The sequence below is a fragment of the Homo sapiens genome, chromosome 10, assembly GCF_000001405.40.
Source record: "Homo sapiens chromosome 10, GRCh38.p14 Primary Assembly".
Lineage (NCBI taxonomy): Eukaryota > Metazoa > Chordata > Mammalia > Primates > Hominidae > Homo > Homo sapiens.
In genome coordinates, this window is record NC_000010.11 from 29,495,024 (window position 1) to 29,510,234 (window position 15,211).

At 43.8% G+C, this 15,211-nt stretch overlaps 1 protein-coding gene across 4 annotated transcripts in view, besides 2 other annotated features; it reads right to left on the bottom strand.

The window, feature by feature from the left end:
* SVIL (supervillin) overlaps window positions 1-15,211 on the bottom strand; it is a 279,599-nt gene that overhangs the window by 37,686 nt on the left and 226,702 nt on the right. For all 4 annotated transcript variants that reach the window (NM_001323599.2, NM_021738.3, NM_001323600.1 and 1 more), the window contains 2 exons: window positions 4,093-4,240; window positions 69-158 (listed from right to left, as the gene is read on the bottom strand). In NM_001323599.2, coding sequence (NP_001310528.1) covers window positions 69-158; window positions 4,093-4,240 — 238 coding nt within the window. The remainder of the gene's footprint in view (window positions 1-68; window positions 159-4,092; window positions 4,241-15,211) is intronic.
* Window positions 1,335-1,836: an enhancer, noted in NCBI's record as "NANOG hESC enhancer chr10:29785287-29785788 (GRCh37/hg19 assembly coordinates)". NCBI's record gives its function as "activates a minimal SCP1, AML or CMV promoter by ChIP-STARR-seq in primed H9 embryonic stem cells {active_cell/tissue: H9 hESC(primed)}" and the evidence as "EXISTENCE:reporter gene assay evidence [ECO:0000049][PMID:30033119]".
* Window positions 6,333-7,532: an enhancer, noted in NCBI's record as "P300/CBP strongly-dependent group 1 enhancer chr10:29790285-29791484 (GRCh37/hg19 assembly coordinates)". NCBI's record gives its function as "activates an origin of replication core promoter dependent on BRD2, BRD4, P300/CBP, MED14 and CDK7 cofactors, with strong dependence on P300/CBP, by STARR-seq in HCT116 cells {active_cell/tissue: HCT116}" and the evidence as "EXISTENCE:reporter gene assay evidence [ECO:0000049][PMID:35650434]".

Sequence of the window (15,211 nt, forward strand, 5' to 3'; positions counted from 1 at the left end):
GAGACAGCATCACTAAGGCCTCTTCTGATCAGAAACTGCTTGGCGTGGCCGGGGCCTTGGCGACTTACCTTCCAGGGGTTTGGAAACGGGTGTGGTGCCTCTTGTTTTACCGCAAATGGGTGAGGCTACTGGGGTTATGGCAGTAGGTGACGCCAAACCTGTGGAACACACAGACGAGCTACTGAGCATCTCAGGGTCACTTCTGGAAATCTCCGGGACCCTGGTGGATCTCCAGAAATCCCAGGGTAGACGGCACAACATATAAGAATTTACACACATGCAGGCACACACACACACATTTCACACGTACCACGACTGTGGGACAACCAACTGCAAACGTAGACTGGATTTTATTATTTCCAAGGACTGTAGTGGCTGACAAGCCGATATTCCAAAATGAACGGTGGAGACGTGGGAAAACATGTCCATGACACGTTAACTTGGGCAAATGCAGCTGTGAGTTCTGAGGCCCTTCGGAGATGGCAGGGGCAGCTGAGAGTGCATTGGTGCCATCTGCAGAATGAGCTGTGTCACACTTGCCAGCAAGTGGCCCCCCGCAGTGGAGCTCTCCTCCAGGCTGAGGGGAGGGAGGGACAGTGGCCCTGGGGACATGACACAGACAGTAACCCAAGGAGGGCCAACCTTTCAGAAGAAATTACAGACCAGGGCAGGTCTGGACCGACTGTGCGTGTTGGAAGTCCTGTCCATCTCCCGTGTGGGCAGAAACAGGAAATGCTTTTCCTAGTATATTTACCGAGAAGCAGAGTGGGGAATCTTTAAAAGGGCAAGTGGTGAGAGACACATGAAAGGGAAAGGGAGGAATTCCTGCATGGAGAAAGTATCCAGCTGGAAGAAGAAAACTTAGTAAACAGAAGGATGAGTATCGCTTCCCTAATCTAAGTGGAAGGCATTGGAAAGAAAACTGATTAGTGCATTTACAAAAAAACAAAATGAGATGTGAATGTTCTCTGTACTCATTTGTAATAAATGTGAAATCCTTAGATGACATTGCCACTTAGATGACAATGCATCCCTGGACGAACAACATCGAGAGGTTATGCAAATCACTATCACAAGGAAAACCAAGGGAATAAATGATTCTGCCCCTTCCTCCTGTGAATGGGAGAAGTATTATAGCATTAAAAAATTTAATAAAAAAAACCATTAAATGGTTTAAAACTCAAGTTTTAGTAATATTCTACAAGTACGTCTCATTATATACATATATTTGATTGATGGTGTCAATAAAAGTTTTAAAATTTGTTTCAATTGCCAGAACTGCAAAGGGTTTCCATCCATGAGAAAGTAAACTTTCTTGAAAGATGATAAATAAAATCTGGTATCACAGGGTGGGGAGGGAAATCTTTACTCACTAGAAGGATGCTTAAGAGAAGAGACATCAGAGGAGTTCATTAGCACAGAGGCCGTTAACTCCGCAGCTAATGAACAGGACTGACTCTGAAGGCTGGTTTCCAAAGCAACCGGAGAAATCCATCCGTGTCCTGGCCGGTGCCGGGCAAACCCCGCTGCCATGGCTCCCCCTGCTGGCGGTTCAGGCAGTGGCACTATGCAAACGTGCTCCCCACCTAGCTAAGGATCCTTAGGGAATGAATGGCTCATGGCAGGGAGATGCAAATTACAAAATGTTAAAACAAAACAAAGATCTCCCCCATAGCTCTTTTCAATGAATTCTAGGTACAACAACCAGTCACCTACTCTCTTCGGGAACATTTTCACAGATGTCAATGTGGACAAGGGCAGTGGCATTTGGTAGTAAGAACCCACTTACAAATAAATTAGGGTTTTTAAGGTGGAAGAAAGAAAAGAAACCAAAGCGGAAAGTCATCAAGATAAAAGCCTGGGCTAGAAGCTGGAAAACCTGAGGTCTGGTTCAAGTTCTCAGTTCCAGTTCTACTTAGTCACCCTGCACCTAACGACGTGCTTCTGTTAAAGAAGGGTTGGGGCTCACGTTAAAGGAGTTTAAACATGAGTATCCAGTTCTGTGATCTGATGCAGAAAATTGGCAAATGGTACCTCATTCTGTGAGAGTAAATTATATTTTCACCATTCCAAGATAAGGTAAGAATAGATTTGTTAGAAAGGATTCCCCACTAAGATTTGAGTTAATCACCATTCAGGGATTTCCCACGTCTCGCTCCTTCCCTTCCTTCTACAAACATTCATTATATACCTATAATGAGTTAGGTACTCTTCATAAAAGTGTGGATTAAAGGTTCTGAGAAAAAGAAAAGCTAAGCCTCTATATTTGATGACAAGATGTTAAGAACAAGTGAATGTGAAAACGTATACCACTATGATGGGAAATCTGCTTTTAAATAATAGCTTAGAAAGTGATGGTATGTGCATATAGGTGACAAAGGGAACCCAAATTTTAATCATTTCCTGCAGGATATGAAATAAAGCCCCAAACACTCTTATGAAGCCTCAAAGCTCTCCAGTAACTTTACTAACCAAGTGATATGTAAGTCAGTTTCATAAATTTTTGAATATAGGCATCAAATCAGTTCCAAGAGCTCAGCAGCAGAAGATTGCAGCAGGGACATCCCACTGCCTAGGAACTGAGGACATATTTTAGACATCTATTAAAGCATATCCGGATTTGGCTTTGGTCAGTCAGAGAAATCAGGTTTGATGGAGAAGGACCTAGGAATTAACCTAAAAGGAAGAGGGGATAAACTTCTTTATTGTGAAAGGCTGACTTAGGGTACATGGTTGCCAGGTCAGAAGGAAATGGAAACAATTTAAAAGTAATTATGGGCTGGCGGGGTGGCTCATGCCTGTAATCCCAGCACTTTGGGAGTCCAAGGCAGGTGAATCACCTGAGGTCAGGAGTTCGAGACCAGCCTGGCAAACATGGCAAAACCCCGTCTCTACTAAAAATACAAAAATTAGCTGGGCATGGTGGCGCGCGCCTGTGATCCCAGCTACTCGGGAGTCTGAGGCAGGAAAATTGCTTGAACCTGGGAGGCAGAGGTTGCAGTGACCTGAGATTGTGCCACTGCACTCCAGCCTGGGAGACAGAGCGAGATTCTGTCCCCTCCACCAAAAAAAAAAAAAAAAAAAAAAAAAAAAAGAAAAAAGTAATTATGGGGGCTGGGCACAGTGGTTCACGCCTGTAATCCCAGCACTTTGGGAGGTCGAAGCGGGTGGATCACCTGAGGTCAGCAGTTTGAGACCACCTGGCCCACATGGTGAAACTCCGTCTGTATTAAAAAGATGAAAAATTAGCCAGGCATGGTGGTGGCGGCCTGTAATCCCAGCTACTTGGGGGGCTGAGGCGAGAGAATTGCTTGAACCCGGGAGGTGGAGGATGCAGTGAGCCGAGATCACACCATTGCACTCCAGCCTGGGCAACAAGAGTGAAACTCCGTCTAAATAAATAAATGTAATTATGGGAAAAGACCAAAATTTGTTAGCAGATTTGAACTGCTTTTGAAACCTACACTTGCACTCAATTCCAAATGGGTAAGTTTTGAAATAGTGACAAATGGAATTATGCATCACTGTTTTATGACCTTCAAATACTTCCAAGAATCATATAAAGTTTAAAGAAGATACTATTTATGAAGAAAAGATATTCAGTAGAAATATCTCACAGAACCTACACAAAAAACATTTATAGAATGTCAGTAAGTTTAAAAAATTTTAAAAGAAGGCTGGGCATGGTGTCTCAAGCCTGTAGTCCCAGCTACTTAGGAGGCTGAGGTGGGAGGATTACTTAAGCCCAAGAGTTTGAGACCAGCCTGGGCAACACAGCGACACCCCATTTCTACATAAAAATTTTTAAAAAGCCAAGCATGGTTTTGCACACCTATAATCCCAGCTACTAGAGAGGCTGTGGTGGGAAGATTGCTTCAGCCCATGAGTTCGAGGCTGCAGTGAGCCATGACTGAGCCACTGCACCCCAGCCTAGGCAAAAGAGCAAGACCCTGTCTCTTAGAAAAAACTTAAAAAGACCATGGTTTCTTCTTTTAAATTGAGCTATCACGTACCACCATGCCCTCCATGGGTAAGTGTGCTCACGTGTGTGCATTGTGCACACACCACACACATGGACACACACACACTGACCTTTCTTCACCATCCTGCCAGCCACAGTGAACTGGGTCGAGTCGTTGGCCGCTCCTCTGCCTCTCGTCTTCCAGGCCTCCTCTCTCACAGTGATGAGCTGCTTCCTCTCCTCAATCGTCATTTGGCTCTCTCGACTTTCTGTGACCCGCTGTTCATAAATGTACAGAAGAGAAAACAGGAGAGAGAAATGACAGCGGTGTGGACCTCAGCCTGCAGCATTTCATGAGTGAAAAAAGCAGGTTGACAAAGAGGAGTAAGTATATTGTCCAAAGATGTTCAAAAATGTTCTATCTGAAATGGGCTTGGCTTCCTTACGTCCAGGTTGGGTGGAGATCACCATTGGCGATGCTGTAACTTTAGATGAATGCCTCTGTCCTGTGACTTACTGGTTTGGGGCACTGGAGCACCAGAACAATCCTTTGTAAGCACAAACAATTAAAAATAGATTGTTTTCATGCCCTGGACTCTACAGGGTTTTAAAGTTTCTCTGTCTTAACCCATCTAGTTAAACTCAGTTAACTGGGAGATTTTTATCCCTATATACTCACAAAGAACATGATTGATCTAGAAAACTTTATCCATGTGAGCACACAAGGAACTTGCCCAGTTAGAGACAGGGAAGGCTGGTTAGGAATAAGGGGCAGGAGAAGGTTTTCTGGCACTCTGCTTGCTTTTTCCTGCAGCCACTGATGTTCTGCGGGCAGGTAGACAACCAGGAGAGCCCACAGAAGTGGCTTTAAACTGTGAGACATCTGATGTTGAGGGTGAACTATGCTGTAGACAAAACCTACATGCACGGTAACATTTCTACTGAAAATGCTCTCAGCAGTTTCTAATTGGAATATTTCTGGAGAGATCTGCTTCTTCCATTTCCAAGCCATTGATGATGCTCATTAGGCTTGCGGTTGGGGATGTGGCAGGAGGGGAAGGGGAAGAAGCTACAGGGGACTCAAAGGGCATCAGGAAAGGAGGAGGGGCTCAGGACAGGCCTGGGATGGGGAGATGGGGCTGAGGAGGGAGGGACAGGAGCAGCGATGGAAGCAGAGGACAGGGCTCATGCCACTGAGTGATGTGTATTGGGGAGAAGAGTGTAGGTGGTGGTCGCGGGCGATACCAGGGCAGGAGGTCCTCAAACGCTGGCCGGCAGAGTTTGCTTTTCCTCTGTCTTCAAGCCATCCCTCCCTGCACCGCAAGACCCCTGTTTATGGCGAGGCACTGGGCTGGGTGGGGAGCGGGGGAGAAGCACAGGAGGTGTGGAGCTAATGCCAAGGAAGGAAGAGTGCAAAGGTGCCCCCTCCAGAGCAGAAGGCACGTCCCTGGCTGTCACCTGCTGGTTTCTGGAAGGGGCTCTGGAGGCCGGTGATGGCCTCCTGGGTTTGCCCTCTCACTTTCCACTGTCTCTTGAACCCGAGGAAGGCTGCTGCTGCTAGCGCATCCGCTTTCAAACTACATCTGAGCACTCCACACCTTCTTCTAGGAGGTTCCCCAGATTGCTGCTAGCGCATCTGCTTTCAAATTACTTCTGAGCACTACTCAACTTATTCTAGCAGGTCCCCCACCTTTTCTGCCTTCCTAAGGCATTTTCCTTGGCTAAGAAGTCTCCATGGATCAATGTGATCCTAAGGCCTCGCGCTGACACAGGGAAGGACTCGGAGAGCCCCGAGTCAAGACCATCCTAGAGATTCTCTTCCCCGATGCCTTTCCTCCTCACTATGGCAAACCACTTCCCTTCACTGACCCACGAGAGAGAACTTCCTGATTCAGGAGGGACAGGAAGAGAGTGGAGATGGGGACAGTTCATTTTCTTAACCCCTGGAATGATGGGAGTTGACAGAGGAAAGGCGCCTTCCCTTCCTTTCCAGCAGCACAAAACCAGGTCTGCACTGGGAAGATTTGGTTTAAGCTATGAACGTGGACTTCTCCATCATCTAAGTGATGAATCTGTCTTTCACAGGATTCTTCTATAAAGCCTTCATAGCCAGAAGTGATTTCGAGGTCCCTGCCAACTTAAATTAGGTTAAAAACCTTTTCCTAAAGAGATATGACAACCAAACGCGATGCATGATCCTGGCTTGAATCCTAGATGGGGTGGGGGCTACAAAGGGCATTATTGGAGGAAACTGACAATTTTAAGATGGACGTGGATCAGATAAATATTGTATCAACATTAACTTCCTCCTCTTGGCCACCATATTGTGGTTATGCGAGGAAATATCTTTGACTTTAGGAAATAAAGTCAAATATTGAAAGGTAGAGGAGCACAATGTTTCCAAACTACTGGCACATGGTTGGGGTGGGAAAAATGAGATGGGGGAAGAGAAGGCAAGAAAGTGGGGTGAGGAGTGGAGGGAGGAAGGGAGCGAGAGTGAAGGAGGGGGGCCAATGTCAACAATGAGTGGTTCTGGTAAAGCGTATGAAAGTGCTCTGCCTATAATGGAAATTTTTCTGTAAGTTTAACATTTTATCAAAATTCAAAGTTACTAAAATTTTTTCCTAAAAACCTGAACATTTCCCCTCGTGATCGGCGAGAAGCCCCTAATTCCAAGTAACTCTCTGAATCACGTATCCTTTTTAAATAAACGATGAGGTTCACTTGCCCGAAAGACCTCATCAAAATTCAACAAAGAGAATACGTTTTCTTTGAAAACGAAGTTTCAGGAGTGAATTTTAATCAAACCAAGATGGCGCTTGGCTTCAAATATTTCCAAGAAACATCAAGTGCCAAGAAAGTTGGCGTCTCCAAAGGTCCAGCCATCACTGTGGTGATTCACTATTCACTTAGTCAACTCTGTGGTGAATTCTCTCAGGCATCTCAACAGTCCAGGGTGGGGTAGTGGGTGTGGATAATGACTCAGAAAAATGGTATCTTCAAATCCAAAATTTCGTTTTTCAAAGCACTGGGATTCCCTCAGAGCCCTTTATGCACACAATGGATACAAACTTTGGGATGATACAACCATTTTAGAATTTAAAGCTCCCATTCGTTTGCCAGACCTAGGGCAAGAAGAAATAATTTTTACTCCCTTCTGAATAGTAATATTAAACATAAATGTTTTTGTTTTCTAGAAATTTTGACTTAACTTTGCTACTTAGTAGGGTTAGCTTAGGACCCCCTAATTGCTGCAATTCAACTTTACGTGGCTCTAGAAGGGTGTAAAGCATATACAGTTTGTTTATTCTCTAAATAATCTAATAAATATTTATCACAATTTAGAACTCAAAATGTGAGAACAAAGAAGATATATATATTTGTTCATTTGATTTTTTTAAGCTTAAAACTTCATTATTGTCTTGTTTTTTTCCTTCTAAATTTTTCTTTCCTTGTTTAGAGAAGGATGTTATATATATAGTAATAAGTATTGTGTCATTTTTCCAGGTTTAGCTGACACATGTTTGGGATTGGCTGGAATAGTAAGAGAGAGTTGAGGAAGAATCTAAACAGAATCCTACCCCATCTGTCCTTCATTCTTTCAAAGACAGATCCCACGAATGTGGTGGGGAAAGGCAGAAAAAGAGGGTGGAAGAGAAATTGAGTATTTGTGTATGTGTATGCACATGTGTGTGTGTGTGTGGGTGGGTGGGTGTGTGTGTGTAGAAGGCAGTGAAATAGGTAGAAAGGAGGTTCTTGTCTTAGGGATGGTCAGATATTGGTAGGTCACAGCTTGAAACTGTGCAAAGGACAAATCAGCACGAATACTTTTAGGTTGCCTGATGTTGCTGATGGGTTTCTTTCTCTCTGTATACACTGACTGAAAAATCATAGCAAATCTCACTCAATGTTTCTCACGCAGGGATGTGATCCAACACAGAGCATAGAACTAAGATGTATTATAAGGATTAGGGCGGATTTAAGGGTCAAACTCTTCCACAACCAGAGAGCTTTATCGAAATAAAATATTGTGACCTGGCTTTTAAAATTTTTTTTATCTTATTCACATGTAGTTAAACTGTAAAGGAAGAAATTATAAAAGCACATATTAAGTAATAGAAATAAGGTGAAAGGAACAAAGTTGTACTTTTCAGTTTTCAAAAATGCTAAGATCATTTCAAATTCTACACACTATGAAAGAAATTTAGCTTTGCCCCTTCCTTAAGAGAAATTTCAGTCCCTCGTCACTGCATACACCCTCAAGTACCCTGAATAAAAGATGAAGAAAAGATCACAGGTTAAGGCTCAGACCTCAAAGTAAGTGTTTTCCAGTCCTGTCACCATCTACCAGCTCCTAAGATGAAAGGAAGGGAATAAAGTAAAATCTTTTTCTGGTACAGCCCTGAGGCATGTGAGAAAGAATTCAGGTTGAAGCCTGACACAGAGACAAACAGTCCATTTAGACAGAGCCTGTGTGCTTTTTTTCTTCTCTGAACCTTTGTATTATTAAATATTAAGACACCAGTATTGCTGGAAGAAAGAAAAGGAGTGACTTGACCTCTGAAAACACAGATGAGCTAGTGCTACATACTCAGTATATAAACTATTTATATTTAGCTGGGAAACATTGTTCAGAGGTAAAAGTATATAATTTTTTGAAATTTTAATTTTGAAGTGATGAAACAGAAATGCCTTTGGCAAATGTTAATTTCCTTTAAACTTAACAATATATGGAGATATATTCCATGTTCATGGATAAGAAGACTCAATTTTGTTAAGATGGCAGGTTTTCCCAACTTGAGCTGTACATTCGATGCAGTTCCAAAGTCCCAGCAAGAGATTTTGTAGATATTGACAAACTGATCTTAAAGTTTACATGGAGAGGCAAAAGACCCAGAATAGCCAACACAACACTGAAGGGGAAGAAAAAAGTTGGAGGACCAACACCAGTCAACTTCAAGACTTACTATAAAGCCTCGGCAATCAAGATTGTGTGGTATTGATGAAAGAACAGTCAAATAGATCAATGGAATAGAGAGCTCAATAATAGATTCATATAAATTTAGTCAACGGATCTTTGAGAAAGGAGCAAAAACATTAGAATGAAGAAAAGATAGTATTTTTCAACAAACGATGCTGGAATAAGTGGACACTCATATGTAAAAAAAAACTAGATACAAATTTTCCACCATTCCCCAAAATTAACTAAAAATGGATCACAAAAGCCTAACTGTAAAAATTAAAACTATAAAACTCCTAGAATATTACATAGGAAGAAATTTAGATTATCTTGGATTTGGTGATTAGTTTTTAGATATAACACCAAAGGCAATATCCACAGAAGAAATAACTGATAAGCTGAACTTCACTGAAATTAAAGACTTCTGTAAAAGACACTGTTAAAAGAATGAGAAGACAATCTACAGAATGGGAGAAAATATTTGCAAAAGACATATCTGATAAAGGACTACTACCCCAAATATACAAAGAACTGTTAAAACTCAACAATATGAAAATGAACAACCAGATTAACAGATGGGAAAAACATCTGAATAGATACCTCACCAAAGAAGATATAAGACAGAAAATAAGCACATGGAAATATGCTCAACATCATATCTGCAAATCTCATCATTAGAGACTTGCAAATTAAAACAAGGTGACATTATTACACATCAATTAGGATGGCAAAAATGCAAACACTGACAACACCAAATGCTGGCAAGGATATGGAGCGACAGGAACTCTCATTCAGTGCTGATGGAAATGCAAAATGGTACAGTCATTTTGGAAGACAGTTTGGAGGTTTCTCACAGAACTAAACATACTCTTACCGTATGATACAGCAATCATGCTCCTTGATACTCAAATGAGTTGAAAACTTACATCCAAATAAAAGCCTGCACATGGATGCTTCTAGCACTTTATTCATAATTGCCAAGACTTGGAAGCAACCAAGCTGTCCTCCAGTAGATTAATAGACAAATAAACTGTGGCACGTTCAGATAATGAAATATTATTCGACGATACAAAGAAAAAAGCTTTCAAGCCATAAAAAGACACAGTGGAGGCTCACGCCTGTAATCCCAACACTCTGAGAGGCTGAGGTGGGCGGATCACCTGAGGTTAGGAGTTTGAGACCAGCCTGGCCAACATGGCGAAACCCCATCTCTACTAAAAATACAAAACAATTACCTGGGGTGTGGTGGCGGGCGCCTGCAATCGCAGCTACTCAGGAGGCTGAGGCAGGAGAATCGCTTGAACCCGGGAGGTGGAGGTTGCGGTGAGCTAAGATTGCACCACTGCACTCCAGCCTGGGTAACAGAGTGAAACTCCATCTCAAAAATAATAATAATAATCATAATAATTTAAAAATAAATAAAATTTTAAAAAGACACAGAGGAATCGTAAATGCATATTACTAAATGAAAGAAGCCAATCTGAAAAGGCTACATACTGTGTGATTCCAATTCAATGACATTCTGGAAAAGGCAAAACCATGTGACAGTAAAAAATGACCGGTTGCCAAGGACTGGGCGGTGAGAGTGATGAGCAGGCAGAGCACAGGGGATCTTCAGGGCAGGGAAACGATTCTGTATGATAGTGTAACGGTGGACATATGTCATTAAGTATTTGTCAAAACCGAAAGAATGGACCACACCAAAAGTAAATTTTAACGTAATCTATTAACTTTGGGGATAATGACGCGTCAACGTAGGTTCATCAATGGTAGCAAATGTGCCACTCTGGAGGGGGATGTTGATAATTGGGGTGGCTGTGTGTGGGAGGGCAGGGATGATGCAGGAACTCTGTACTTTCTGCTGTGAACCTACAACTGCTCCAAAAAAATAAATTCTTCTGAAAAATATATCTAGTTGTCCCTCAGCGTCTATGGGGGACTGGTTCAAGGACCTCCTAGAGATACCAAAATCCACAGATGCTCAAGTCCCTGATGTAAAATGGGGTAGGATTTGCACACAGCCTGTGCACATCCCCGCTGTGTACTTTAAATCATTTCGTGATGACTTATAATACCTAATACAAGGTAATGTTATGTAAATAGTTGTTCTGCTGTATTGGTTTTTAATTTTTTAACTGTTGTATTGTTCTTTTTTATTGATTTTATTCCCAAGTATCCCTAGTTGGTTGAATCCTTGGATGCGGAACTGGAAGAGATGAAGGGCCGACTGTATACACTTAAAGACTTCAGTAATATATCTTTTCCTTTAAAGTTTAATATTGGCTTATTTCAAAGAAACACAAGCTCATTTCCCCCGTTCGTGATGGAATGGGAAGTTTGCTCCACATTTCAGCCCCTTTCTTGGGGTGGACACTGGCTGGGTACGTGGGGCCTGGGCTCTTACAACCAGCATTTCCAGCTTCGGGGGAAGGAACCAGGAGAGTGAGGGAAAGGCCGCCCCAGGGAGAAGAAGTGGGGAGTTTCCATCTGTGAAGAGGCGAGATGACTACGGGAGGACCCCAGACACCTTCCCTGTCAGCTTCGCATGTGAAACCCTGAGCCACTCATTCAATAACTGCTGGTGCTGCTGGAGCAGGCCCATCGCGGCACTGTCAGAGGCCACCTGAGAGCTAAGAAAGCCCCAGTCCTGCTGGGGAGACAAGGCCCTAGAGGGAGGGGACAGAGGCCCTAGAGGGAGGGGACAGAGGCCCTGGAGGGAGGGGACAGAGGCCCTATGAGGGAGGGGACAGAGGCCCTACGAGGGAGGGGATAGAGACTCTACGAAGGAGGGGACAGAGGCCCTAGAGGGAGGGGACAGAGGCCCTAGAGGGAAAGGACAGAGGCCCTATGAGGGAGGGGACAGAGGGCCTACAGGGAAGGGACAGAGGCCCTAGGAGGGAAGGGACAGAGGCCCTAGGAGGGAAGTGATGGGGCAAAGCCCGGCAGGGAGGAGATGGGAGCCTGGCATTCATGGAAAAGTGGATGGTGCCACTTTGCAGAGTTGTTTTGACACCAAGGACATTCCACGGTGAAATAAAAGAAACCAGCCATTCCTATTTTTCATGTTATTCACCCACACAGTGGCTCAGCCCAGGCTGGGGTCTGCTCTCTGGGGTGGGGTTCAGAGAGGCTACAGTGAGGATGGAGGGAAGAGGCAGGGGGCCCATGGTCTCTAGTTTTAATAGGGCCATTGGAACCAGCTCCTCCTGGTTCTTTAATAGGGTCACTGGAGGGGCCTCCCCTCGCTGAGTCTTCCTCCCTGTCCCTCCACACCCCAAACTGCCTCCACCATATCCTCCTCCTCTATGAACTGAGTAGGACAACATCCTCACTGAGCTGGAGCGAAGAACATGGCTGCATCTCCTGGGCTCCTGACTCAGGATCGAAGCTCAGAGGCTGAAAGGGGACACTCTCCTCTTAAACCAGTTTCATGACTACGAGGTGAATTAATGCCATCCAGTCCACCTGAAAATCTGAGCCAAGGATCAGTGTGTGTGTGACTGATCCTAAATATATGAAGAACCAATTAAACACACACATACGTACACACTTAAAGACACACACACAGACTCTTATAGACACACACACTCACATTCTCACAGATACACACTCATAGATACACACTCTCATGGACACACACACAATTGTACTGCCACACACACACACACACACACACACCTCTCTTTCAAAGTGAAATGCACCAAATAAGTTATTTCCCAAAATTAAAACAGAAGTTCTTTTCCTATTGCTCAGAAATTGCAGTGAGGCTTAAGATGAGTGGCTTTTCCTCACCTGATTAATCGACACAAAAGACAGGTATTTATGGGCAGCAGGAATAGCAGGAGAATAAGTAGAAGCATATACAGGTTCCTACAGAGCAAAGCAAGAGGGTTTAAGGTGAAAAGAGAAGATTTATCAGAGCGGGGCCGGGCAGGGACATGGGGGAGGGAGAGACAAAACAATGATTTTTCTAACAGAATGTTAATTTACTCATTGCAATTTCAGTTCTCTTTTCAAGAGAGTCCTCCCTTGAATGCTAATGCTAAAGTAAATCCACACAAGCGCGGTAAATATACCTGAGTCAGCTTTGTGCAGTAATTAAATGAGTTAATTTATAGAAGATTGTCAGTTACAGAGAGAGGAACCATGACTTTCATTGACAGTTTTAACATTTAACAGAAAATATCATCTTCTTTAAAGTATCTTCATTACATGATTAAAAAATAGTTTAAGGGCACGGGCTCAGCTCTCCACTCCGGACAAAGGCTGTGTCTGGTCTGGAGATAAGAAAAGCACCAGGGAGGGTGCACGAAGGAACCACCCAGGATCAGGATTACCCACGCGAAGTGTAATTCTGGCCACCATCGAGAGGACACCTGTGTTAGAGTCAGGCTTACCCAAAGCAGATTAGAAATGGCACTATCATCCGCAACTCCTCCTTCTTCCTACAGGTTAAAACAAACAGGGAACATGGCAGAGTATTGGAAGAGAAGAGCCTGGTCAGGGCATCGCAATCACCTTCAAGTATTTCATGCCTGGGTTCAAACAGCAGCATGCACGTGCTCACACAATAGGGTGATGTGAACCTCAGGCCAACTCATTCCGTGACCGCAGAATGATCATCTGGAGTTTAGAGAGCATTCCCTCAGCCTTTCTCTCCCTCCCATCCTCGCACTTTAAAGTGACTTCATTCTCCTGCACTATGATCTGGAATTTCAATGGCAGCAGACACTGAGCATATAAATGTGCCAGATTCACCTTTCTTGAAATTTCGGGCACTTGTTCTGGGGCTGTCATAGATCTGAGCTGGATACACTGACCTCACAGCTGCAGAAGCACAGTGGGATATCCAGTTCCCTCTGGAACTCAGAAACAGACACAGGGTTTTAATGGCCAAGTCTATAAAGGGTTTTCACTTCTTGGAAAATGTCTGATTCGCTGGATGACTATCTTCACAAAAGACGTGGGAGCCACCGTGTGTGCCTTAACGTCGAATAAACCGAAATAGGGATGGAATTGAAAATAACTATTTGGTGAAAATAAATACATAACTGAAAGTTAGTTGTAACAGAGACTGCTGCCAAACCACTTCTTTGAGACTTTGCTTCGTTTGATTTCTCTCTGGTGGAATGAGTTACTCTGGAGGAAAGTGTACACAAGCCATGCTCAAGTGCACATAAACCACACCGTGCAGACCAGACCAAATCCACAAAACAGACAGCTTTACCGTCTTTAGACCAAGTATATATGCTACGAGACTCACACATGTTTAAGTCAGGTTAGCCTGGCCTAGACTATACCAAGAACAGGTGAAAGATAATAAGGGCAGCAAGGAAGAGAAAGAAAGAGAAAGAGGGGGAGAGAGAAAGGGAGAAGGAGGGGGAGGGAGAGAGAGAGAGAGAGAGAGAGAGAGAGAGAGAGAGAGAGAGAGAGAGAATACCCAAACAGTTTTTCACAGGAAATGACAGAACTAGCTAGGTAAACAATTAGTGCTCTTAAGCTCTTGATCATCAATCCTCATTTTGGGGGGAGGGTGTGTAAAATGGGGAAAGAAGGAACTGCTGGTAAGTTTCCTATTCCCTGAGATGTGCTTGATCTTTTAGTATAGAAATGAAAACTCCAGGCTGGGCATGGTGGCTCATGCCTGTAATTCCAGCACTTTGGGAGGCCGAGGCAGGTGGATCACCTGAGGTTGGGAGTTTGAGACCAGCCTGACCTACGTGGAGAAACCCCGTCTCTACTAAAAATACAAAAAATTAGCTGGGCATGGTGGCACATGCCTGTAATCGCAGCTACTCGGGAGGCTGAGGCAGGAGAATCACTTGAACCCAGGAGGCGGAGGTTGCGGTGAGCCGAGATTGTGCCATTGCACTCCAGCCTGGGCAACGAGAATGAAACTTTGTCTCAAAAAAAAAAGGAATGAAAACTCCAGCTTAATATCTATTCACAGGCCCAAAATTGTTTTTGTTTTTGTTTGAGACAGGGTCTTGCTTTGTCACCCGAGCTGGAGTGCAGTGGCACAAATACTGCTCATTGCAGCCTCAACTTCCCGAGCTCAAGCGATCCTCCTGCATCAGCCTCCCAAGTAGCTGGGATCACAGTCGTGCGCTACCACACCCAGTTAATTTTTGTAAACATGGGGTTTTACCACGTTGCCCAAGCTGGTCTAAAACTCCTGGGCTCAAGTAATCCTCTTGTCTTGGCCTCCCAGTGTTGGGACTACAGGCACGGCCATTGAGCTTGGCTCCAAAGTAAATCTTAACATAATAAAAGACCTAAAATGAGATGCT